The sequence below is a fragment of the Homo sapiens genome, chromosome 3, assembly GCF_000001405.40.
Source record: "Homo sapiens chromosome 3, GRCh38.p14 Primary Assembly".
Lineage (NCBI taxonomy): Eukaryota > Metazoa > Chordata > Mammalia > Primates > Hominidae > Homo > Homo sapiens.
Genome location: NC_000003.12, coordinates 145,938,376 through 145,964,665, shown reverse-complemented (window position 1 = coordinate 145,964,665; position 26,290 = coordinate 145,938,376). Strand labels below are relative to the sequence as shown.

General features: G+C 34.7%; 1 long non-coding RNA gene across 3 annotated transcripts; it reads right to left on the bottom strand.

Annotated features, from left to right (window-relative positions):
* Nucleotides 1–540: 540 nt before the first annotated feature.
* LOC107986138 (uncharacterized) lies at nucleotides 541–24,825 on the bottom strand. 3 transcript variants are annotated; one of them, XR_007096277.1, is made up of 5 exons: nucleotides 24,512–24,825; nucleotides 7,154–7,271; nucleotides 3,313–3,349; nucleotides 2,484–2,618; nucleotides 541–1,145 (listed from the first exon to the last, which is right to left on the bottom strand). It is a non-coding gene; the product is annotated as an uncharacterized LOC107986138 (long non-coding RNA). The 3 variants fall into 3 exon arrangements; XR_007096278.1 differs by lacking the exon at nucleotides 2,484–2,618; XR_007096276.1 differs by lacking the exons at nucleotides 541–1,145; nucleotides 2,484–2,618 and having other exon boundaries at nucleotides 2,906–3,349.
* Nucleotides 24,826–26,290: the final 1,465 nt, after the last annotated feature.

Genomic DNA, 26,290 nt, shown 5'->3' with positions numbered 1-26,290 from the left:
TGAAAAAACTTCTCCATTTTTAACATACTGAAAATAATTGTATTAAGATGTGTGTCTATGCAGTTCAACTAAATCAGTTCTTTTTTGACAGGATAATTGAGAACTAAGTTAAACATCACTTACAGCTCTGTGCCAATAAATAAGTTAAATATATAAATATATTTCTGACAAAAATTGAGAGAAAAGGAGTGAAGTCAGATAATACTGAATTTGGATTAAAAGGACCATAATTACTTTGTTAAAATACATATTGGCCTTAGAAATAAAGCTAGCTATTTTATTTGACTTTATTCTATAATTTTGTTAGATTCCCATTTTTTTTTTCTATTCCAAACATGGACTACTGATGCCATGAAGAATAATAATTTTATTATGAAAGTTTGAAAGCATATCAAGCATTGTATTTATACCAGAAAAACAACATGTCTTATATATATTTTCCAAACTTTGTCACAAATAGAGATAAGAAAGGACTTCTATATAATGGCTGAATTTAGAGGCTTAAACCCTCAGGTTTGGCCTTTAGGCCTCTCTCTTGCCTTATTTGAGCTCTGCTTCTCAGTCTTCACTGGCCTAGTGTAGAAGGCTTTCTTTATATGGTTGGAAATATGGTTGCAAAGAGTTCCAGCTTACATTGTCCTTATAGCTTCTAATTCAAGTTTAAGAGAGCACTTTTCCTCACTACTGCTCCAGCTTGAAAAAAAAAAAAAAAGAAAAGAAAAAAGGAAAGGCCTAGAGAAGGGTCTGGTTTACTTTTTTAATCATGGAATATATACTGGGGTTGGTAATTAGGGATGGGAGGAATGAAGTCGCTTGGTTTTTCCAATAGAAAGTGGAAAGGTTAGCTACCCAAAGGGGAGGATGCTGCCCGAGCAATATAAGCACACTAAGCTCACAATTATTTCTGATGGGAAAAAAGGGCTCCTAATTTATGAATAATTTGGGAACCAATGTTTATAGGAAAATGTTCAAACTTCTCAATATGATATCAATATGACCCCAATTAATGTTTCCAGTCTTTTCCCCTCTTTTTTCCTTTTTCGTATGTTTCTTCTCACCTCTCGCCGGTCTAATGATTCGGCCACACTGCTTGGTTTTTGCTGCCTTCTGGATTTTTGCTTGTTAATTCTATGTTCCTGCAGTACCTTTAATTAAAACAGACATTTAATACATCTACTATGATTTGAATGTGTCCCCCATAAGCTCAACTGTTGGAAACTTAATTGCCAATGTAACATGATTAAGAGGTTGGGTCTTTAAGAGGTGACAGGTTCATGAGGGTGGAGCCCTCATAAATGGATTAACGCCTTTATTATGGGAGTTCGTTTTTTTTGCAAGAGAGGGATGTTATAACAGTGAGCTTAGCTTGCTTTTGTGGTCTCTTTAATTCCTTTGCTTTTCTGCATGTTATGATACAGGATGAAAACCCTTTCAAGAAGCCTTTGTCATACCTTTGGACTTTTCAGACTTCAGAACTGTGAGCCAAATGAACTTTTCTTTATAAATTACCTAGTCTGTGGTGTTCTGTTACAGCAGCAGAAATCAGGCTAAGACACCACCTTCACCGTATTAGTGAAATATTCTTTTACTTCCCCAAGTAAAACCTTTCTTCTGTTCTGTGAAGGACCTTGTATGTGGTTATCTCAAGGATAAGTGGGAGTAGACAAAGCAGGCACCTTGCTTTCATGCTATGAGGGAGTTCAAAGTCAATGCTGTACTTAGGAAAAAAAGCAATCTCACCTACTTCAGTGGATTATTGTGATAGACAATGGTTATTAGATCTAATCGTTTCATCATATTATTCAAGTCGTCTGTATTCTCACTGATTTTTATGCCTGCTGGCTTTATGAGCAAATGAGAGCGATCTATTAAAATCTCCTACTCTTTTAGATCTGCAAATTTTTGTTTCATGAAGGATTATCTTATTAGGTTTACACAAGTTAAAATGTTATATGTTTTGTTTTCTTTTTTGTCAGTCTGACTTTAAGATTTTTCTTTGTTATTAGTTTTTATTAGTCTTAATATAATGTTGTATTTCTCATATTTGTGGTTTGTAATGCTTATTAAATTTTTGGCTTGATAATGGTCATGTTAGGTCTATACCTTAGTTTATCTCCATAGTTTTTGTTTATGATATTTTAAAATTGAGAGAAAAAATGTAGAGATAAACATATAGTATATCCAGATAATGGTGTTCTCAACAATTTTAAAATAAAAATATTCATACGTGTCTAAAATACATGACAATCTTGAGAAGTTGGAGAGGGGACTAAAAACTGTATAAAAAATTTAGAATTTCAAAACTGAAAAATACAGTAACTGAGATTAAGGATGGGTAAATATCAGCTTAGAAACTATCATGTGAAATACTGAGACATCAAAGAAAGGCAAATACGGAAGAAGACTAAAGAAACATAAGGAATGAAGTAAACAGAACTAACATACGTATTATCCAACTCCCAGAAGTAGAGAATGAAGCTCACTTGTTTGGTTCTCAACTTCTCTCTAAGGCTGTGAGGAAATCCAGCATCCCAGATGTAGAGTCATGTAGATTTAATTTTAAGTGGTCTTCAGTTCTTCCCAGGATCAGCCGATTTCTTACTTTTTACTGCTTATTCCTAGGGGTAGACCTTTTGTGTCTCAACCCAAAGACTATGCGTGTTACTATAGCTTTCTCCCACTTTAGCCTGCCCTCAAATCCAGTTCCCATGTTCCCAGCCTTGTGACCTGTTGAAAAGTCTAAGACATCACCCTTATGTTAAACCTTGTAGACTATTCTAAGAATTGTGGCTTTTGTTCTAAATGACACGGAAATATGCTGTATATTTTTGAGTCGAGGAATTACTCTATCTGAGTAGTTTCAAGATCATTTTGGGTGCTGCGTTGCTCTGCTTTTCACACACCTCTGCTAGAAATGCCAGGTGCTGTGATGGGAGAATTGGCCCTGAAATCTGAGTTCATTGATCTAGGTTACCTTTCTTTCTTGATCTTAACTCTTTAATTATTTCTCATATTATCTCTTTGACGAACTCAAATGTATTTTTAAATATATTTTTAAACATATGTTCTGGTTATTCTCAGGCATGTTATCTCTAATTTTCACCCCATATTCTGCAAGCAGAACCATTTCTGACTGATTTTTTATTTATTTAGTTGGAACAATTTCTCCAAAACAATCTTGCAAGGGATATATGGGTACTATACACATTTCTGGAATATAGAGAAACTCTGTTAAAAACAACAGACTCTTCTTACTCTGGCCTGGCTTCCTATGGTCATTTTTGTTTTTCCTCTTTAGCTTGTTTCTCCTACCTTAAACCATGTATGTTTCCTCTTCTTTTTTATAGATCTGGTAAAAAGTAAAGATAAAATGTCAGCTATATTTTTATTACTTAAGAGTTATTTAAATGCTTTTAACTTAGATTATGTCTAATTAACAAAATTTTTCTATTAACTAGAAACAAGATATCCTGAATATCTGAAATTTGCACATAACTAGGGAAGGAAATTAGAGGCTAGTGTTCTAACACTGAAGGGGGCATAAGAATATGCCACAGTCCTTTCCCTTAATGACTCTATTTAGCTTGTTGAATGGGCAGTTTCACAGTGCATGTAGAATAGTTTTGAAGCTCAAACAGCTCCTGGCTACTTACTGATTTCTCTATCTGTATTTCTAGCTGGACTTGACACAGAGAAAAGGTCTTAAGTTGACTGTTGCCTTGGGGAGAAAGTGGGAGTCAAATGTGCAGAGGAGTTCTGTTTTAATCCTAAAAATTTATTTCCTGTTTAATCAAAATTTTTCAAGAAATGATTCACACTTAGAGCGAATTGTTTCATAAGTCCAATATTTTTGGAAGTTCGACTTTAACTGTGAAGGTTAAAATATGGAAAGAAAATTTACTCTGAAGATGAATACATTGAAATACATCAGAAAAATACTAAAAAACTCAAGGCATGTCTGAGTTGGCATTTTATTTTTGCTTACATTTATATGTATGTCTGTGGTATAACTCTCTACAGAAGATATATTGTTGGTGGTTGAGAGAGTGTCAGCAGTTTTCAATGAAGCCAAACTTTTTCTAAATGCAGAGTTGTCAGGAAAGTAAACTTTCTATCTACTGAAGACTAAATTTAAACAAGCACGGATGGATTGTACTTTTCAGTTACCTACGATAGATAAATAATATGCTTATGTTTGTTCATATATATAGTTACCAAAATAAATCTTTCCAGTACATTCTAGTTGTTTATCATTTGTTCAAATCTTTGTGTAAGATATCTGATTCCATTAATACTTCTTTTCCTATGCAAAGCGTAACTATACATTTTACTGTGATTTGTTAACTAATGGCTATTAAAAAATAGACATTTTTCTGAGATTCACTGGCTTTGGGCCATGCCACTAATATCCACATTTTACTGCTATGTAGTCCCCAACTGCATCCTTGTAGGGTCTTCACTCGAGGACTGATTAATTATTCCTGGGAGTCTCTACCATGTCTAAAGTGTGATCAAGTAGGGTCCTCCTTATTCTTTCACTCTGACCTCCTTTTCTGCTTCCCAGAAACTATTTTTGGTGGGAGATATGACTCATCCCTGCCATGGGAGCATCTTTTCCTTGTAAGAATTCTCCCCCCATTTTTTTTTTGTGGGTTTCAGCTTTTTGGAAACTCCTAAAGCACAAAAGCTTTGAACTCACATATAGAAGTGCATTTTCTTATATAATCACTTTGTTCAAACCAAGTTATGTTCCTCACAGAAACTGAAAGGAAAACACTCTTCTTAATTATGTGGCTGACTTGGTCAAGAGCAGCTCTGTTTGCTCCTTAATCTTTGTCTTTTAAAATCCCAAATGATACCACTTTTTCAGCTTCTTTTAAAAGACTGGTATCTCTCAACTGCTCAAAACTAAATGCATGGGATTGGACTAGGGAGCACTCTCTTTTCACTATCTTGTCCCTGGCATCCCCAACTTATTGCCTTAGTTGGCATGGGCAAAACAGAAACCAAAGCAAATGTTAAAAATGAAACAAAATGAATGAACAAAATACTAACTTTATTCCTCAGCAATGACATAAGATTTCATGGCACCTTTACTCAGTCATTCAAAATTCTCGTGGTACAAAGAATATCCATTTTTGGATGAACTTCCTTATTTGAGGTTTTTCATTTTCTATTTCTTGTTCTAGAACAAATCGCTATTCTTTTTTTGATCCATATATACATACATATTATGTGTATGTATGAATGTATACATACACATATGTATATGCATACATGCATGTGTGGTACATGTGTGCATATGCATATATGTATATGATTCAAAAATGTATATATTTACATATACAAAAATATGTGTATGTATACATAATATGTGTATGTACTTACATATACATATCTATGTATGCATATGATGTATATGTATGTATACATAATATGTATCTGTATAGTCACACATGTATATATATACAGATATTTTTACATACATAATATGTATCTTTACATGTATGTATCTGAATCTATACATACATGTAGATATATATATTATATATGTTAAAATTTAGATTTTTTTGACCCCTAAGGGGAGCTAAATTTACTTTAAAAAGTTTCCAGAGCCCACTTCAATTCATACCTTTGTATACTTTTATGAAGCTTCTGGCATTGGGTACTGTGGAAGGCAATGAGAAAAACTTAATTTAGTAAATACCTTTCAACTATGCCTGATGAAGGGATAGTGTCCTTAAAGACACAATTACCTTTTAATTTAGCTCACCTTTCTCACTCAGAGGTTTTGCAAGTAAATAAATCTATTTGGTTTTCCAAAGCAAGGATTGAAATTTCCTCCTTCCCTTCCCTCCCTTCCTCCCTCCCTCCCTCCCTTCCTTCCTTCCTTCCTTTTTTCCTTCCTTCCTTTCTTCCTTCCTTCCTTTATTCTCCACTCCCTCTCTTTTCTTTTCTTCCCTCCTTCTTTCCCTTTTTTCCTTCCTTTCGCCATTTTTTCCATTCTTCTCCTTCTTTCTTTTTGGTCCTAATTAAATTAAGCCAGAGAGTTAAGTGATATAAATATGTTTGGCTCAGTCTTAATATTGGACCAAATTATCTAGAGCTTCAGTGACATTTATATTCTTGTCTTACTGTTTGTTTGCTTCTCCTTTGTAATCTCGTTGCTTTTAACAATTTATGCTTTTTTTGGGGGCCAAATTGGGTTGTTCTTGCCTACTTTCTTAGGTTAGTGTTGGACAAAATAGCAATTTTTCAGCAGCATAGTGGAAGATAATTTGTTAAAATTTTTCATGTTAAATGCTCACATGAAATCTGCTTAGGTGGTCATTTTTTTTTTCAAAATTCCTTTGACAATAATTTTTCAATTTATATTTATCATTTAAAGTCTCCTTTTAAAGGCTGAGCTTAGAGTGAATTCTATGTACTTGGTTTATAGAATGGATAGGAGAAATATTTGATGTAAAATACTAGTTTTCCAATATTTACAAGAATTTTAATCAATTATTGTAAAGCCATTGCATCCGCTTTCACGCTCTGAACCACGGATTTCACACTTCAGTTTTGTGTGCAAAAAACGACATTATTTCCCGAACACATATTTATTCAAGATGTTTGTCTGTTTGGTTTCTTTTATATTCTAATCATGTTTGCTACATTTAAAAACTATATTTTTTAACAGTAAACTACATGTTTCTACCACAAATTTATGGCTGACCACTTTCCCTGGACTCATGGCTCAGGCCTCATGTTTAGCGGTAATTTTCTGAAGTCATTTATTTTGCTTTCCAATGCTGTCTGTTAAACTAATTCTCTATTCCATAGTTTTCCTACTCCACCCCTCATTCCCTCTCAGGAAAGTGCCACACTGAGGAAGTGCTTTCCTTTTTCAGTGGTAAATCACTGGAGTAATACTCACTTTGTAACTTAGGGTGTTCTCTTTCCATAGTTACAGATTTTGTTTTTTGACACAATCCTACGTGTTCATTTTATTAGTGAGTTAATAAGAACTCTTTTGGTTGCAAGAATCAGAAAACATTCTGAAAACTGCCATAAAACCCAAAAGAGAATTTATTGGTTGATATAACTCAACATCTCCGTGGCAAAATTGTATTCAGGCTCAGATGTATCAAGGTGCTCAAAAATCTGTTACCTGAAAGCTATTTTTCCCATGTCTCAGTTATGCTCTGTTCTGTGTTGTCCTCATTCTCAAGCAGGTTGTGTTGCTGACTCAGGAATCTGTTAGTTTTCCTCTTCATAGCTGAGAAAACCTAGCAGAATGAGATTCTCTATTAATTTCACTGCACTCTTTCATACCGGCCTTGTCTGCCTCCAGAGTTCATTGTAGGCCAAGGAGTTGCAATGCGTTAATTGGTACTGATGCCTATACCAGGAGCCTGGAAGATTAAATGAACCCCACATTTACTTTGGACCAGTGGTCTAAGAGTGCAGGAATAGTAGTTTTCCTAGGAAAATTTGGCTATTGATATTAGAAAAAGAGGGAATGAATATATAATCCTCAAGGAAGTGTTCATTGTGGATATTTTTCTACTAAAATTTTCAATGTATTCATTTCTTCAGGATAAAATTTGACTTCTGAAATGAGGTATTCAAGGTCCTGATTATTTTACTTTCTGAAACATTGATCCAATTACACTAGTCTAATAATTAGTCTCCTTATAAGGGGGATAATAAAATAAAATAAAATAAAAACTAGATAACTGTTTTTATTATGCCACCAGTCTCATTTCTACTATGTTCATCTCTTTTGTAAAAGTGTTATAAATACTCCAATCCATCCCTCAGTAACCTTCGAAAATCTAACCATTTTAAAACACTGTTATTGACAATTCTAGTCCATGGTGTTTTATTTTGTCTTTGAACTCCAAATGATTTTATTGTTTATAGTGTTGTCAAATATTGTTTATATTTTATTTGTTTATTTTTTTGTGTGCTTATCTGTAGGAGTCACAAACTGCAACTTGTTGGTTGTATTTTGGATATCATTCATTGGAAAATAACTCATAAGGGCAAAAAATCTACTACACATTTAGTAAAGAGTTTAAATTAGATTGAATATTATTAACTTTAAGAGTTAAGTTATACAGATTTAATCAGTTCTTATGAAGCCATTTCATACCCTTTCATCAATGCTTTGAAAAGCATTTTTACATACACATGCAATACTTATTTTTGAGAGGTTATGAATATAGATTATGCCATTTCTATACATTAGTTTATGTCAATTATTTTCATCTTCCTTGATATATCTACTACCAGAATACTAATCATATATTTTATGTTTATATCTTGTAACTTTTAATACATAAGTTTTTAAGATTTTATTAACTCCTTGAGTCGTATAACCTGATAAAGAATACTTGATTAATTAGAACTTTCATTTTCTGCTTTGACATCTTCATTCTTAACTATATTTGTAATTAACACATCTTGAATTTATGATTTTTACTGAATTATTACTTGTATAAATCAACACTGATATTCTAAAGGTTGAAAATTGGGATAAAATAAAATGAGGTTATTGATAATATATCTGCTTAGGCATTTTACTCTGATAAAAGGTGTTGTTTTGGACTGAATTGTGTCCTCCCCAAGATAGAAGCCCTGGACCCCAATGCGACTATAATTGGAGCTAGGGCTTTTCAAGTGGTAATTAAAGTTAAATGTGGTATTTCCTAATGGTGGAGCATTATTCCAATAAGACTTTTGTCCTTAAAAGAAGAGGACGAGACATCACGAGTGTGCAAGGGCAGAGTTATGCCATGTGAAATCATAGCAAGAAAGTTGTCATCTGCAAACCAAAGAGAGAGGACACAGGAGAAACCAAACCCTCTAACAACTTGATCTTGGACTTCCATCTCCCAGAATGTAAGAAAATACATTTCTATTGTTTAAGCCACCTAGTCTGTGGTAATATTTCATGGCAGCCTTAGCAGATTAGCAGGTAAAAACAACATTATTGTATAGTATGTATCAGATTTGGTTAAAAAATTCTATTAGTTTAGTCCTATTTTTATATTTCAGTAAGTTTTTCTTTAGTTGAACCTGAAGGTGTAGTGTATTTTAAGTATGGCCTTACTGTAGTCATTTATCACTTCATCTGAATTCCAAAATAAAAGTTTCATAAACTCACTCGTCATTTTATATTTCCAGGATTTGAACCTTGCAAATGGTAATGAGGTACCTTTTAAAGCTAGTTTTAGCTTTCTAAGAATAAATTTGGAAACTGAAATAGTGTTGTAGATCTTGGTGACAATATATATTATCTCATTGGGTAGAATTACGTTAGGAAAATCTACACATTGAAATAGGTATATCCTCAGTGAATTGTGATAAAACAGTAAACATTCTTCTTAAGAAGAGGGGGAGGAAGAAAGAGTTTTGGGGCTCAATAAGGTTGGTCTCTTTCTTTCTCTCTGTTTTTTTCTGTCTCTGCCATACAATATTTCTAAGTTGGCTTAAGTCCCTTACTATTCATCAGCACACTAATGTGATCATTTTTAGAACAGACAGATGCTTGGATCTTCTAGGACTTTCAGAAGCGCTTATTTTGCATTGAAGGGATTATAAATCTACTGCATGTGGTTAAAGACACAAGTGGACCTTTATATAGATTTGTGATTTGGACACTCACAGCAGTATCTAAGTTTGGCCCATAAGCTGCCAAAAGAACTATACAATTTAGTCATGTAAACTTAAAAATGACAAGTTGATGAAAAAAAAGTGTCACTTAGGTTACATGGTGACATAAAGAGCAAGAGAATAATTGGTTAGCTGATTTTGTTTCCTTTTTCCATTTTGTCTGCAATTTTTGAACTATTACATTTTTAATTGAGTGATTATGATTTGAGCTTAGATTTGAAAGAAATGTTCAAGGAGGACTGCAAAATTACGAACACATTAAAATTTTTAAGCATATTCGTAACAGTTTGGAATGAATAAAAAAGCAATATTAATAACAAAACAAACACTTTTTTATAAAAATAAGAGCTGTGTCTTCTGTGCCATGTACTGCATTAAATTATTGTGTTAGTCCATTCACACATTGCTATAAATAACTTTTGGAGACTAGGGAATTTATAAAGAAAAGAGGTTTAATTGACTGACAGTTCTGCAGGCTGTACAGGAGGCATGGCTGGGGAGGCCTCAGGAAACATAAAATCATGATGGACAGTGAAGGGGAAGCAAGCATATCTTCACATGGTGACAAAAGAGAGACAGCTAATGGGGAAGTGCCACACACTTTTAAACAACCAGATCTTGTGAGGAGTCACTTACTGTCAAGAGAACAGCAAGGGGAAAGTCTGCCCCCATGATCAAATCTCCTCCCACCAAGTTCTTCCCCCATGATTGGGGATTAAAATTCAACATGAGATTTGGGTAGGGGCACAGAGCCAAACCATATCAATGATCAATATATGCTTGTCACATTTAATCCTTCAAACAACCCTATGAGGTAGGCATTATTTTATAGATGAGTAAACTAAGTTACATATGGTTACTCAATGGAGGACACACAATTAACAAGGGATTTGAACCAAGACTATCCAGTTGTAGGATGTAAACTCTTTTATCTGTGAAAACTACACAAACTTTCTGTGTGCTGAGGTGAACACATATTAGGTAATTTATTCAGTAATAGGGTTAAAACATTTGCAGATGGCACTACAATTTTTATAAAAATATAACATTTTAATAATATTTACTTTTCTAGATAAGTTTATTAAGTTGCACTGTCATTTCTCAATGATTGATAAAATCATGGACAGCTGGGGTAAAGAATCGGGTATTTATTTTAAGCCCTCATTTGTTGTTAATGAAAATAAATAAAATACCAATTGCATAACCTTTTGAATTTTACGTAAGGATTTAATTCTTTTCAATTTACTAAAGCTTTGCTATAATTCTTCTTTGGTAAGGCATTTGTTAATACTTTTTTTTTTGCAGATGAGACAAAGGATACAGGTTTTTAAATGAACTAAAAAGTCTAGATGTTAATCTAGTTTAGTTCTAGATGAACTAAAAAGTCTGTTCATCTTCAAACCAACAAGAGTGCTAGAGGACTTTTGACTCAGTACCTTCATATAAAACCACAAAATAACTTTAGCCACAGTCAATGTTCATAGCGTGGTCGGTGGAACAAAGGAAATACTTTTCTGGCAATTAGACGTCATCTGCAGAGAGGGTTGGGGTATTTATCCAAGGCTGGGTAAAAAATGCCATCTTTTTCCTGAAGGACTACCTATATCCACATCTATATCTATCTATATCTATGTGACTATATGTATATATCATCTATATAATCCATATATATATCTTCTACATCATCCATATCTATATCTATACAAATATATATCTATATATTTATATGTATGGATCTTTCAATGAGATCATATTTGTACAGGCATTTGAGCTTCCAAATATTTTACTGGTGAGCCCATTGGAAGTAAATTATTTTTTAGTTTCATTTAGTTAATTTCAGTAGTATTTTGTGGAAGAGGATCTAAGATGGATTCTTCCCTTTCCCATCCTTCTTGGCTCTAACAAATTGAAAAAGTGACCCAAAAAGTCAAATGGGGAAAACTATAATATAGGTTTATCACTGGTAACATTAGATTGTAGAGAGTGGGATGGACCTGAAGTCAAAACAGGGCCTTCTCTTTTAGGACCACAGGCCCATAGTGTGGGGTGGACCCACCTCTTCACTGAGTATCAGACGGGAAGGTGAGACAGAGAAGAGGCCTTGATGGGCCGCAGAAGGGAGGTGCATTTTTTCTGCCTCTGGTGCGGTGACTACAAGAGCAAATTCCACTATGCTTGGGTTCTGGGAAGCCACAAGTAAGAGAGAGGCTATGTGCAATTAGCATTGCTTCCACAGAACTCATTGGTAACATGAGCCAATTATTACTCACTTTCTTGGGAAGGAGCAATTAATAGGATAAAGAAAAATGTGGACACTTCCTCAGCATCTGGAATTATTGGCAGCAGTTTCCTTTTTGGAGACCACAATGGGAATGTAGTAAGATGATCCGAGTCCTCCTCTATCTCTAATGTTATGTGCTATGTTCTTTTAACCTATTTTCACATAGAATCTGAATAAAAAATCCTCTGTTCTTCTATTTTTCTCATCAAATTATGCTCAGCCACACTCTCCAAAGCAGCTCACTAGAGACTGTATAGATGACCCACAACAGCATAAATATCACAGACAATACAATAGTAGCAACATAAAAATCAGTTTGAAACCATTGCCTTTATTAAATACATGTGTATAAATGTAAAAGACAGTTTTGTATTATAGTCAAAATATTAAAATCCTTTACAGCACTCCTGCTTCAATATTCTTATACAATAAGATTATTCTCAACAATATAAGACTGAGATACTGAGGCTATTTTTCTCTATGTCTGTTCATGACAGACAAGAGAACACAGCCCCAACAGAGGCATCTATTCTACAAGGCTGAATGACACTTTCAGGAAACAGTTAATTGTAATAGGTTTGCCAACCAGTAAGTCCTGAGTCCTGCCAATCCTTTTATAGCCTGTTACTCCCTGAACAGGAAAGGTTTACATTTTGAATCAAGCACTTCTGATACATTTGTACTTACCAAGGAAGTTGCTTCCTTCACCACCATTAGGAAGTTTTATAATTCTTTTTTCTATTTAGGTGAGAAACCAATCTATATCGAATCACATAAGAACTGTAAAAATGTATGTGTCCATGTCAGGGGTGGGATACAGGCATCAGCTACCATGAAGTAGCCCAAGATAAAATCCACTAAGAAAATAGAAGACAACCATTAAATAATACAGTTTCTGATCCTAAGCTGAGAAAATGACCTATGTTTCGATTCCATATCACTTTTTATATTTCTGCCTCTATATTCTGGGAATCTTGATGATATCACCCCTAGAGTCTGGTAGGAAGATGAATGGATTCCACAAACTACTGTTGGCATGATGATGCTGTTGCATTGCTACTGAGGTCCCGAAAAGGAAACTTTTGCCAATAATTCTACATTCTGAGGAAGGAGTGACCAGTTTTATCTTCATCCTAATACTTGTTCCTCCCCAAGGGAGTGAATAATGATTGGCTTATGTTACCAGTGAGTTCTACAGAAACAATGCTGATAGTACATAGCCTTTTATCTTACTTATGGCTTCCCAGAACTCAAGCATAGTGGAACTTGCTCTTGTAGTCACCATGCCAGGAACAGACAAAATGCACCTCCCTTCTGCAGCCCATCAAGGCCTCTTCTCTGTCTTGTCTTCCCTTCTGATACTCAGTGAAGGGGTGTGTCCACCCTACTCTATGGGCTTGTGGTCCTAAAAGAGAAGGCCCTGTTTTGACTTCAGGTCCACCCAATCTCTACAATCCAATGTTACCAGCGATAAATCCAATATTATAATTTGCTCCATTTGACTTTTTGAGTCAATTTTTCAGTTTTACAACCAAGAAGAATTGGAAAGTAAGGACTCTATCTTAGGCCCTCTCAAAATGCTACTAAAATAATCAAAGAAAACTCGAAACTAATATAATTCCAGTGGGCTCACCTCTAAAACATCTGGAAGATCGAGTGCCTACACCATTGTGATCTGCGTTGAAATATCCATCTATCTATGGAGAGAGAGAAAGAGAGTGCGAGCCTTCAAAGCAGCTCAAAGCAGGCAGATATATATATATTATTATATATATATTATATATAATATAGAGAGATGGATATATATGGAGAGATATGCATGGATATATATACATCTGGAGATATATTTGGATTGCATATGTGAATATCTATGGGTATACACACACGCACACCATACAAACATATACATATATCATATACATGTAAACAATGTGGATTTACATATATATATATGTTGTCTGTATATTAAGCCAGCATATAAATTAAGCTTATTAGTTATTTTAATATAAGATTTTTTTTGTCAGTAACTACTGATGGGTGAATATCAATAGCCATTTAAAGTTGTTTTCCTATGTCCTTTTGTTTTTTTTATATTTTCTTTATTTCATTTCTTCCTTCTGCATATTGCATGTGTGTACTTTAAAATACGCATCTTTCCTATTGCATAATTGTATTTTATAAAAATGATTGTTTTGATAATTAATGACCATATTAAATTGCATAGCATCTATTCATAAAAACTGCATTATAATAATTGTAGTTTACACATGTTATAATCTGATTTGAAATTGCTGGGAATAATGAATAAAAACATTAAGTTGACAATCCAATCATGCTGTGCTAGGTTATCTCCATGTTCTTCATATTCAAAACAGGATCTGCATATGTGATATAGTAACTAGAATGTTTCCTGTGGATCATGAGAGAAGTTTGCATCTACAACTCATTTACAAGTATTAAAATGTCCTTTTATGTAATATTCTTTGTGCTCCTGAAAGCTATATCTACTTTCACACAGAGTCTCATTATTGAAAAACCCAGGGAAGAAAAATCTATGTTGAAAATACCAGAATGAAAGGAGTTCATTTTGGGAAAATTTTTAAGGATTACTGAAAATGTAGGACAATTAATCAAATAGCCTAATATGGGCACTGAAGATGAAATATACGATATTACAGTAACTCTCTTGTGGATTTATGCTAGTCATATTAAAGTAAGCTAATCAGATATTTGGAAAGTAATGTACTATCCATTGATTTTCTTTGCTAGGGGAATGGCATTTTACCATTCATATTCCCCAAACCTTGAAAGTGAATTGCTATCAATTTTGTTCAATTTATATATATTTTTTGTTCCTTTTAAGGATGCAAATTAAAGCTAAATATTGATTACTTGGGGCAACCCTTAAGCCTTAATTGGAGACATCTTTGTTGCTCCCCAGAACAGCTTAAAGCCAATGATCTAACAGGTAAATGCAAATCATAGATAAAAGATTATATGAGCCCTGACCGAGTGTTCTCAAAAGTCAAACTCCAAGTGCATGTGTGAAGCTGTATATAGCTGAAAAATATATATATTTTTCAAACTGTTTTATATTTCATACTCCATATTGCTGAAGCCAAGGTCAGCAATATGGAGTATGGAATATCAAACAAATTTGAAAATGGAAAATAAAGAGGGTTAAGAATTATTCAGTGAATAAAGTCAATAAAGTTTCAGTCCTTTTAAATGTTAGATTCATATGTTTGTTGGCTGCATGAATATAATCTTTTGAGAAGTGTCTGTTCATGTCCTTTGCTCACTTTTTAATGGGGTTGTTGGTTTTATTCTTGTAAATTTGTTTAAGTTCCTTGTTGACTGTGGATATTAGACCTTTGTCATATGGATAGATTGAAAAATTTCCTCCCATTTTGTAGGTTGTCTGTTCACATTGATGATAGTTTTTTTTTTTTTTTTTTTTTGCCATGCAGGAGCTCTTAGTTTAATTACGTACCATTTGCTAATTTTTGCTTAGCTGCAATTACTTTTGGTGTTTTCATCATGAAATCTTTGCTCATGCCTATATCCTGAATGATATTTCATAGATTTTCTTCGAGGGTTTTTATAGTTTTGGGTTTTACATTTAAGGCTTTAATCCATCCTGAGTTCATTTTTTTATAAGGTGTAAGGAAGCGGTCCAGTTTCAGTTTTCTGCATATGGCTACCCTGTTCTCCCAGCATCATTTATTAAATAGGAAATCCTTTCCCCATTGCTTGTTTTTGTCAAATTTATCGAAGATCAAATGGTTGTAGTTGTGTGGTCTTATTTATGAGTTCTCTATTCTGATCCATTGGTCCATGTGTCTGTTTTTGTGCCAGTGCCATGCTGTTTTGGTTATGCTAGGCTTGGAATATAGTTTGAAATAGGTAGTGTGATGCCTCCAGCTATTTTATTTTGGCTTGGGATTATCTTGACTATACAGGCTCTTTTTTGGTTCCCCATGAATTTAAAAATATATTTTTCTAATGCTGTGATGAATGTCAATAGTAGTTTAATGGAAATAGCCTTTAATCTTTAAATTACTTTAGGCAATATGGACATTTTCATGACATTGATTCTTCCTACCCATGAGCATGGAATGATTTTCCATTTGTTTGTGTTCTTTCTGATTTCCCTGAGCAGAGGTTTGCAGTTCTCCTTGAAGAGGTCCTTCACTTCTCTTGTTAGCTGTATTCCTAGGTATTTTATTCTCTTTGTAGCAATTGTGAATGGGAGTTCATTCATGATTTAGCTCTCTGCCTGCCTGTTGTTGGCATATAAGAATGTCAGCATTTTTTGCACTTTGATTTTGTATCCTGAGACTTTGCTGAAGTTGCTTCTTAGCTTAAGAAACTTTTGGGCTGAGACGATGGGGTTTTCTAGATATAGGATTATATCATCTGCAAACAAACATAATTTGATTTCCTCTCTTCCTATTTGAATATCTTTATTTCTTTCATTAGAGAAGTGCAAATCACAACCACATTGAGATACCATCTCAAACCAGTCAGAATGATGATGATTATAAAGTCAATAAGCAATAGATGCTGGTGAGGTTGAGGAGATAAAGGAACACTTCTACACTGTTGGTGGGAGTGTAAATTAGTTCAACTATTGTGGAAGACAGTGTGGCGATTCCTCAAAGATCTAGAAGCAGAAATACCATTTGATCCAGCAATCCCATCACTGGGTATATGCCCAAAGGAATATAAATTATTCTATTATAAAAATATATGCATGCACATTTTTGTTGCAGCACTGTTCACAACAGCAAAGACATGGAATCAACCCAAGTGCCTATCAACAGTAGACTGGATAAAGAAAATGTGGTATGCACACACACATGGAATACTATGCAGCCATAAAAGGAACAAGATCTTGTCCTTTTGCAGGGACATGGATGGAACTGGAAGCTGTTATCCTCAGCGAAGTAACGCGGGAACAGAAAACCAAATATCACATGTTCTCACCTATAAGTGGGAACTGAACGATGAGACTATATGGTCACATGGGGGAACAACACACACTGGGGCCTGTCAGGCAGGGAAGTGAGAGCATCAGGAACAACAGCTAATGGGTCCTGGGCTTAATACCCGAGTGGTAAGTTGATCTCTGCAGCAAACCACCATGGCACATGTTTACCTATGTAACAAACCTGCACATCATGCACATGTACCCAGGAACTTAAAATAAAAGTTAATGAAAACAAAAAGTTAGCTTCTTGGCCTGACTTGCTCGGGTAGGCTAAGAGAGCAAGGCCAGGCAAGACTCACATAGTTGCATAGGTAGAGAGGAGTAGCTTCACTGTAATTAATCCTGGGAGATGATATTTTTCCCTATCTCCATTTCAGTAGAATTGGCCCTAATAAATGATACTTCCCTTCCTTTTTCTTCCTCTGGTAAAAAGAAATAGTTTCTCTATCTTAGCACTCGTCAACTGCTGCTCAATTCCTAGTTTCCAATGGGAAGGAGAACAGATACAGTGTAACTGTCGTGTTTTAATCATAGGTGAGCTCTCCCGAAATCACCACGTTCATCAAGATGATAGGCAACAAAATGTGGAATGTGCCTATGATATAATTGTAATTCTGTGCAGTGGTTATAGGACATGAAATAGATCTACATGTTACAGAATAAATAGATTTCCAAAGCATAGATTGAGGAAAACAAGCAGAATAATTATTTTATATAAATTATAAACTGAAAGCTACATAAGTATCAGAGACATACATACGGGTAAACTAATTTATGCCAGATAGCTTTGAGGACATATATTAAATACATCAAGGTGGGTTTCATGAGGGAAGAGGAATAGTACTTGAGATGGGGGATGAAGGGAAAATGGTGAAACATAAAAAGCTATGCAGAGACAGGTAATAATAAAATGCCATGGTACGAGAAGTAAAAATAAAATCACTGTGTTGCAGCTGCTGTCCATGTAAATGAAGGAAGGAAGGAATGAACAAAATTAAAATCAGTTAGTGAAAGTCTGAAATCCCTGTGTTTTTCCTTCTATAGTTTAACTAATCAGAGAATTTATTGAAGTGAAACCACTTTTCATTGGCAAACTTTCATATTTACCTGGTATGACTATCAGGGAGAATTAAGAAAACACCTTGTATTTGCAATAACTTTAGAATCCTTTTGAGGGCTTCTTCCTTAAGTTATCCATGGGAGGGCAATGAGACAGTGACCTGGTTTTCATGTGGTGAAGTCAGTGACACAGAAGATAACTTGCCTCATGCCGCTTACACTGTTAGGGACCAAAGCGTGTCACGGCATCCTTCACTCCACACTTCCTGGTTTGCATATGGAGAGAAACACAATGTCAAGAAGTAAGAAAACACGGATTATGCGTCTCTGGAGAGAGCCTTCTGAAGATTTTAGACCGCTGACAATAAGGTGACATTGTTTTATTAGCCTCTGTTAATTAAAGACTACTTATCTATTTATCCTACAACAAACAAAGGATTTTGGTTGGCAGAACTGATAACCTTAAATAATGTAATTGCAAGTTCTAAAAACCAAAGGAGAAATGAGCCATGGATGTGAGAAATCCTGTGGAGCTGTGGAGAGCAGCTGAACCAGAAACAGGGAATTTGATGCTTTTGTCTTTCAGTTCCTTCATTGGTACGTTGAATGTAATAATACCTTCAAATAAAGAGTTTGAAATAACAAAGTCCTATTTGCTAAGATCAAGCTTCCATGGAGAAACATGTCCTCTTAGTAGGAAACTGTTAGAATCTCAGCTCATACTGGGATTGGAGAAACCATACATCTTTAATTTCTGAATATATCGTGTGAGAAAGCAATTGACAAATTGATATCTACCAGGTAAAGAACTACATTAAAAAGAATAGTTTCACAAAATCATACAATAGTTATATTTATATAATTATGACTTAAAAGAGTTTCTGATGAAGCTGTGAAAACCTCATTTATCATACTATAAAATAGCTGTTTGTATGACCAATACCAGAAATAATAATATCACAGTTGTACATCTTTATACAACTTGTACCATATCATTTTAACCTCACTATAATTATTTGAAGAATAGAGGCTTGCTATTATTCTATTGAGATTTTGAGAAACTGAGGTTCTAAGTGGTTCCTTTAAATAGATCACACTACTTGAAATGTTTGAAGACCACTGAGTTACTGAAATTTTCTTCCAAGTTCTCACATGGACCTAAATAATAATAGGCTTGGTAGTAATAGCTCAGCTCTGTCCTGGTGTAATACTTCATTATATCCATCATTATCATGAAATGTAAAAGTATTGAGTCTTATTTAAGCAGTACAAATCATAGATAGGATATGTTTTAGTACAAGGTGGCCAGTGTCTGATATCTAACAACAGAAATTTTGGCTGCGAGTATTGGAGTAATAATATTTTAATACTTTTATCATAATACCAAATGTGTACTTCCAAAGAATGGGCACAAATGTAGGTTTTATAAAATTCGAAGCATTGATCTTGCATATATAACAGTGGAGGTACATTTCATATATATAATAAATGAAATGGTAGTATCTTATCTAAATGTGTAAGATAGTCAAGCTACTCAGTGTGTGGGGGAATTCGGAAATAATTATATGACGTGTTTAAGGTTACCAGGACATGTTACTGCACTGAGGCCCCATTTAATGCTTGATGTATTTCACAAGTATGCACAATTTACTCCTGGGTACTCTATTTATAATGTGTGACAAATTTTTTCAATGCCAATTGGTTGATTTCCCAGGGAGCTTTATTACCACCTTACTTTGAAAAACTTCTGGCTGGGCCCACACTGAGAAGATATCAGTCTGCCTCTGCCATAGGTCTGAGCAGGCTACCTTGGTTTTGACCTTCTGTACAAAGATTGCCCCATCAGATATCCCTCATCAATTAGGTCCATCTGAACTAACACATTTTGTTGTTAAATGGCCTTATTGATATCATGCTTCACTGACTCTGGACTTGCCTGGTTCATCCATTCACTTCTGTTTAGGAATATGCAGACAGCCTCTAGAGTTTGACCAGCCTTCTGAATATCCCTATCTATTTCTTTGTTGAAATTTTTATGTTTTCTCTCAATTTCCAAAATGAAACCAACCAATCATTTTTGTATGTGAGACTCAATTTACATTCTCTTTTAAATTTTTTCTGCACCTCAGAGAAAAAATGGAATAGCATGTGTTGAAAGGAATAGTGAAAGGAAGCAAATAAATGGCGTAAGCAAAATATACTGTAGCCCAGAGATAAGAAGACAAAGTATAGAAAACTCTTTGTCACTCAAAAAAAGTCTATAGCTGAGATCTATAGGGAGAAAGAAAGGCAGAAGAAAAAACGGAGTATAGTTGTCAAATATGTGTTAGTGTCATATATTGAAAAAACATATAATGCTGAATTGAAAAACGTGCTAGATTATGGTATAAATGCTATGTGTCAGCTGAGAGCTGTGGCCATGTTGAATGTGCACTGCAGAAAGCTGAAGCCTCACCACTGTATCCCCAGCGAGGTCTCTCTTACATGCAAGCTGGAAGGAGGCTTGCTAATGTCAGTCTCTGAATTCTGATGCAAGTGAGAGGCAGCCCATAGTGATATAGGTGGAAACAGACTTTAGCTCCATATGCTACAGCAGACTTTGAACTTATCTTAATTACTACTGTGTCTACTGAGGAGTAGAGCAGAATTTCTCTAGTGCTGCACTGAGACAGAAAAATGGATAGATAGTAGTGATCACAAGTCAGAAGAATTGATTCAGGCCAAGTATTAAGTGCATATTCAATGGCAAAAGTAAAAAGCCTGCACCAAGTTTTCCAGCAATGAAAAGAGGGTAATGAAATGACTCATTCTGATGAGAAAAAATGACCTTTCAAATCTGGGGCAGGTATATGAGACATAATTAGATTCTTATTTCATCAGTGGATGTCTGTGTGACAGAGGAAAATGCATTCTCTTGTTTTCCCCTGTTACACACAAAATAACAATAGAAATACCTAAAATTCATTGGGTTTTTACTATGTAACAGGCATTATTCTAAGTCTTCTTTATATGTAACTTAATTCTGACATAATTCTAAGGTCTACAAGTTAGGTACTAATGTTGACCTTATTCTACACATGATAAAACTGAAGCACAAAGAATTTAAGTTGCTCTAATGTAATTATAGAGCCAGGATTCAAACCTAGACATGCCAGCATCAAATCCCCAATGCTTAACCATCACACTACAGAGAATTGTACATTTACATGCTATTGAAATATTCTAATTCATGAAGTAAAAATTAATGAACTTAGAAAAAAATGCTAGTGGCAAACAAACATTTAGATTAAGTCTTTCTAGGAGTATTTCAGTTTTGAGAATGGTTAGAAGGGTATTTGGAATATATTTTTAATACAAGTATTTTTTCATTTATCAAAATAGTAGAACATGAGAACCACAGATACTTTGTGGCAATTTTATGTAAAGGACAAAATTCAAAGTTGTGAAATTTTTTTTGAGTGGAATATATGACAGATGTTCTCAATCTTGGCTGCACATTGGAATCACCTGGGGAATTTTTTAAACTTACGAGTGCCTGGATTCTATCCCCAAGATCTTACTAAATTGGTTCTGGGTATGGCCTGGTCTCAGGATTTAGAAAAGTTGTCCAGATGCTTTTAATTTGCACATAGGGTTGGCAACACTGGAAAAATTCAGGGCTTAACTTGAGGGTAGCTTTATGGTGAAGCCTACACACCCAGGATGAAGTCACGTTGACCTGGGTTTGATTTCACAGGCCCACACATATGAACTGTGTGATTTTTAGAAATTCATGTTTCTTTCCTCAGCTTCAAGTTTCCTTGTCTGTACACCGAGGTTAATAATACTTCCTCTGGTTTTATAGATATGCACAATAATCTCTTAGCAATGCATACATGTTCCTTAGCATAGTGGTTGGCGTATTGTGACCATCTCAATAAACTTTAGTTTTTTTTTTTTTTAGAATAAAGGCAGATCATGGGTTAATTTATTTTCATCAAATTATGAGACATGTAGAAAATCGGTAAACTATATAGCTGTTTTTCACTGAATGTAATGTCTTAATTTATAACCTCTAAGAATGCTAAATGATATATATCATCTATGTATTGCAATCTAATTAACTGGATGGCTCTTTTAGAGAGGAATTTACTCTGATTTGCTTGGCACTAGCACACATTCCTAGGCATAATAGAGAGTAAAAAGACTTGCAAATGTGAAGAAGAAAGATTTACAGAATCTTTCTTCTATTCCTACCCTCCTATCCCCTCAAACCTTTATAATCCCTGATGGCCCAGTATTCCTGAATCTCTCTACCTTGCCTCAGACCTGCTTACTAAAATGTCCATTAGAAAATCCAAGCCTGTCTTACTGACCATCCTGGAGCAAACATTTAATTTGGTGGCAGGTTAGTCATATTGAACATTGTTCTAGGAGGCACAGAACCATGAGTCATCCTATCATTCTATGAGGTCTTGTACTGATTCCTAACTTAGATCCAACAACCGTTTTTCTGATTTTATTTAATTCCCTATTTCCTGGTTCATAACCATGGCCATGTAAAAGCTTCAGGTTCTTGCTTGCCACAAGCTACTGTTCCCAAGTAATGGCAGATGAGCAAGTATGTGACATCATCCAACTATAGATGCTTATGAGCAAATACCTTGGCTACAAAAACCTCTTTGCTGGGACAGAAATATTTAGAAATGTCCCTTTCACTGTATATGAGTGTTTTCACTGTATATGAGTTTAAAAATATCTGATAAAAATGCCTCGTTTTTTCCTTCTTTCCTTTTAGGTACTATAAACATGATTGTAGTACAGATGATGTTTTAGAATTGAAAATAGAGAAACCATTTTACATTCTAAAGTATATTCATTTACTTTAAAAATCATAATTGTTAATTTCTTCATAAGTATATATATTTTAATTTAGTTACTGTATGCAGGCTACATTCCATGCATTTTACATATATTAGTTAATTTAACCATCATAAAATCTTGTGAGATTGACGCTATTGCTATCTCTAGTTTGCAGGTAGAGAAACTGAGAGTGCCCAACTAAAAACTGATTAAGACAAGATCTAAATGTGGGCTATCTAGCTCCAGAAAATGAGCTCTTTAATATTATACCTTACTAACAGCAGCAATGATTTACAAACATAATAATGCCCTTTCTAACAGCATGTAACAAATTCACTTTTATTTTTTTCTGGCATTTAAACACTGTCAAACACTAATACTATTGCTATTGGATTCACTTTTTTTAAAAATTTAATTTTGTTGAGAGGTACCCCACCAGAAGGACCCTGATCATTATCATGCTATCAATAATTAAGGTTTTTTTTTAAGTTTTCAAAACAGTCAATCTGAAGTCATGTTCCTCTAATACAGTGTATTTCTTTGGATCTCAATTTTTCTTCTGAGATACTTTTTCCTTGAAAAGACCCTTCCACTTAGAGGATTTTCTGTATAGTAAATCTCCATCTTTATTTCCTGCTTCTTAAGCAGCTACTCAACATTTAAAATTTTTCTTTTCTTTTCTTTCTTTCTTTCTTTCTTTCTTTCTTTTTTTTTTTTTTTTTGAGATGGAGTTTCACTCTTGTTGACCAGGTTGGAGTGCAATGGTACGATCTTGGCTCACCACAACTTCCGCCTCCCAATTCATGTGATTCTCCTACCTCAGCCTCCCGAGTAGGTGGGATTACAGGCATGCACCACCATGCCTGGCTAATTTTTTGTATTTTTAGTAGAGACGGGATTTCTCCATGTTGGTCAGGCTGGTCTTGAACTCCCAACCTCAGGTGATCTGCCCGCCTTGGCCGCCCAAAGTGCTGGGATTACAGGTGTGAGCCACCGCACCCAGACATGATAAATTTTTCTAATTGCCCTTTTAAAAAACAGAAGTCCTAAAGTTTTATTAATTTGTTTTGCAACAAAATACGTAAGTTGGAACTGGTGAGAAATACATTTATGGAAAGTGTTTATGCTCCTACTAAATTTCACATAGAAACATCCTAATTAGAATAACTAATCCCATCTCTGAACCTTTGTTAAGTGTAGATAATCAGTTTCTAGTTGGGCACTCTCAGTTTCTCTACCTGTAAACTAGAGATAGCAATAGCATCAATCTCACAAGATTTTATGATGATTAAATTAACTAATATATGTAAAATGCATGGAATTAGCCTGCATACAGTAACTAAATTAAAATATATATACTTATGAAGAAACTAACAATTATGATTTTTAAAGTAATGAATATACTTTAGAATGTAAAATGATTTCTCTGTTTTCAATACTAAAACATCATCTGTACTACAGTCATGCTTATAGTACCTAAAAGGAAAGAAGGAAAAAACAAGGCATTATGCTATTCAGGCATCACACTTAAACTACATATAAACATGAAAGAAATCATATTAATCTCAATAACCCAGAATTTCTCCTTACTTCCAACGGCATATGCAAATTCCACATAGCTTTCTCAGGTGTTTCTGTGGGCTGACAGCAGTGCATTGTGGAGATTCACATACCTGTCATCATCTGCAATACCAGATGGCATCCATCAACTTCTTCCCTTTAGTTCTACCTCTCTGTGATGCCGCTAGATGTGAACACCAGCGTGGGTGGTGGGAAATCTCATAGCGAGGACATTATAATTGCATCAATGTGCATACCCAGGGAACTGCCCAGGGGTGCAGCCAAAGCTGCCCGTCTTTGAAGGGCTGAAGGTGTGCTGCGTTCTGTGCAGACAAGGAGAAATTATCCTCTCTTCAACTCTGCATTGTCCTATGTCACCTCAGTTCATTAGCAGCAATATTTCTTTCCAGGGTCTCTTAGAAATCATAATAGCTCTTCTGGCCTTAAGCTATTTTTGCATAAAGGGCTGAAACCTAGTCCAAATGACTGGGCAGGAAACAGATACCTTGCCATAACCTGTTTCTGTCCATTAGTTCTTTCTACCCCTCCCCTTTATATAAACAAATGTGAAAGCTCCTGTCTCAACCTTCCGCTAAATCCTTCCCATGTCCCTGCCCATGTGTGCCAGTTATGTAACTCCACTCAGCAGAAACATTTATTCCAGGATTTACTTCTATTTACTTTTCCATGGCTGAGAGCATGTCAATTCCCCCAAATCATGACTCATTTCTATTGGGGAATAATTGGAAAAAGAGAGAACTGGAAATATAATAGAGAAATAAAACGGATGACAGAGTAGGAATAAAGGATTTTGCAATAAAGCTTGGAATCTATGAAAGTCAAACAGTGAGTTAGATCTGCACCCCTCAGATTATCAGAAAAGATGCACTCAGTACATTCTGTGGAAAGACAGACTCAGAACAAACCCTTTGTCTAAAGTCATCCTTGACTGAACTAAGATTCTATAACCCCCAACAACTCTTGGGAAGAGCTGTTGAAAAGTTTCTATTTACCATAGCTGAGTATATTAGATAAAGTTACTCCCAAATTTTCTATATGAAGCAAATTATTACTTATTTCTGTGACTATGAGAAAATTAAAGAGGGAATCAATAACTCTAAACTGTATATCAAATAGCCATTAACATTTGGATAGAAGCTTCAGATCCTGGAAAATAAAAACATTTCTAAACATGCATATTTTCTGCAGCCAACACACACACACACACACACACACACACACACACACACACACATTTTGCTGAAGGCTTTGGTGAAAGAAAATCTACAGCTATCACCTAGTGAATATAGGGATAATGAATAGAAATTAATTTTAATATCTTGAAATACATAAAATAACTTTTATATTTTATATACTTTAGTAATCATAAAATCACTTTTACATATGACTTTGATCTCCCAAATTCTATTTCTCTCAGAGGATCTGATCCTTCTTGATGAATGAGACAGGGTCTGCTTTTTTGCCTTTGCTACTGATCTTTCTAAGGTGAAGGACCAACTATGAGGTTTCATAGGATTTTAGATAATTCACCCCTTTAATAATCATATTAAACTCATTATTTTTATAAGTTTAGTAAAAATTCTATTATCATGAGGGAGTACTTTATTCTCTTAACAGGGCCTATGCTTGCTTTTGAAAAATCTGGAATATTGATCTTCACTACATTTGTACATATCATTGGAGAACAGTGAATAACAGAGACACTGTGTGAAGATCATAGATCACAGGATCAACTGAAAACTTCCACATTCGCTGGTTAAACGGTGTGACATTTGGGAATCAAAAAGAATCCAGTTGGATTTTTCTCTACTCATTCCTGATGACAGAAGGAGAGGGGCAGAGGGAGCAGCATTTCAGCTTGGGTAGTGGCT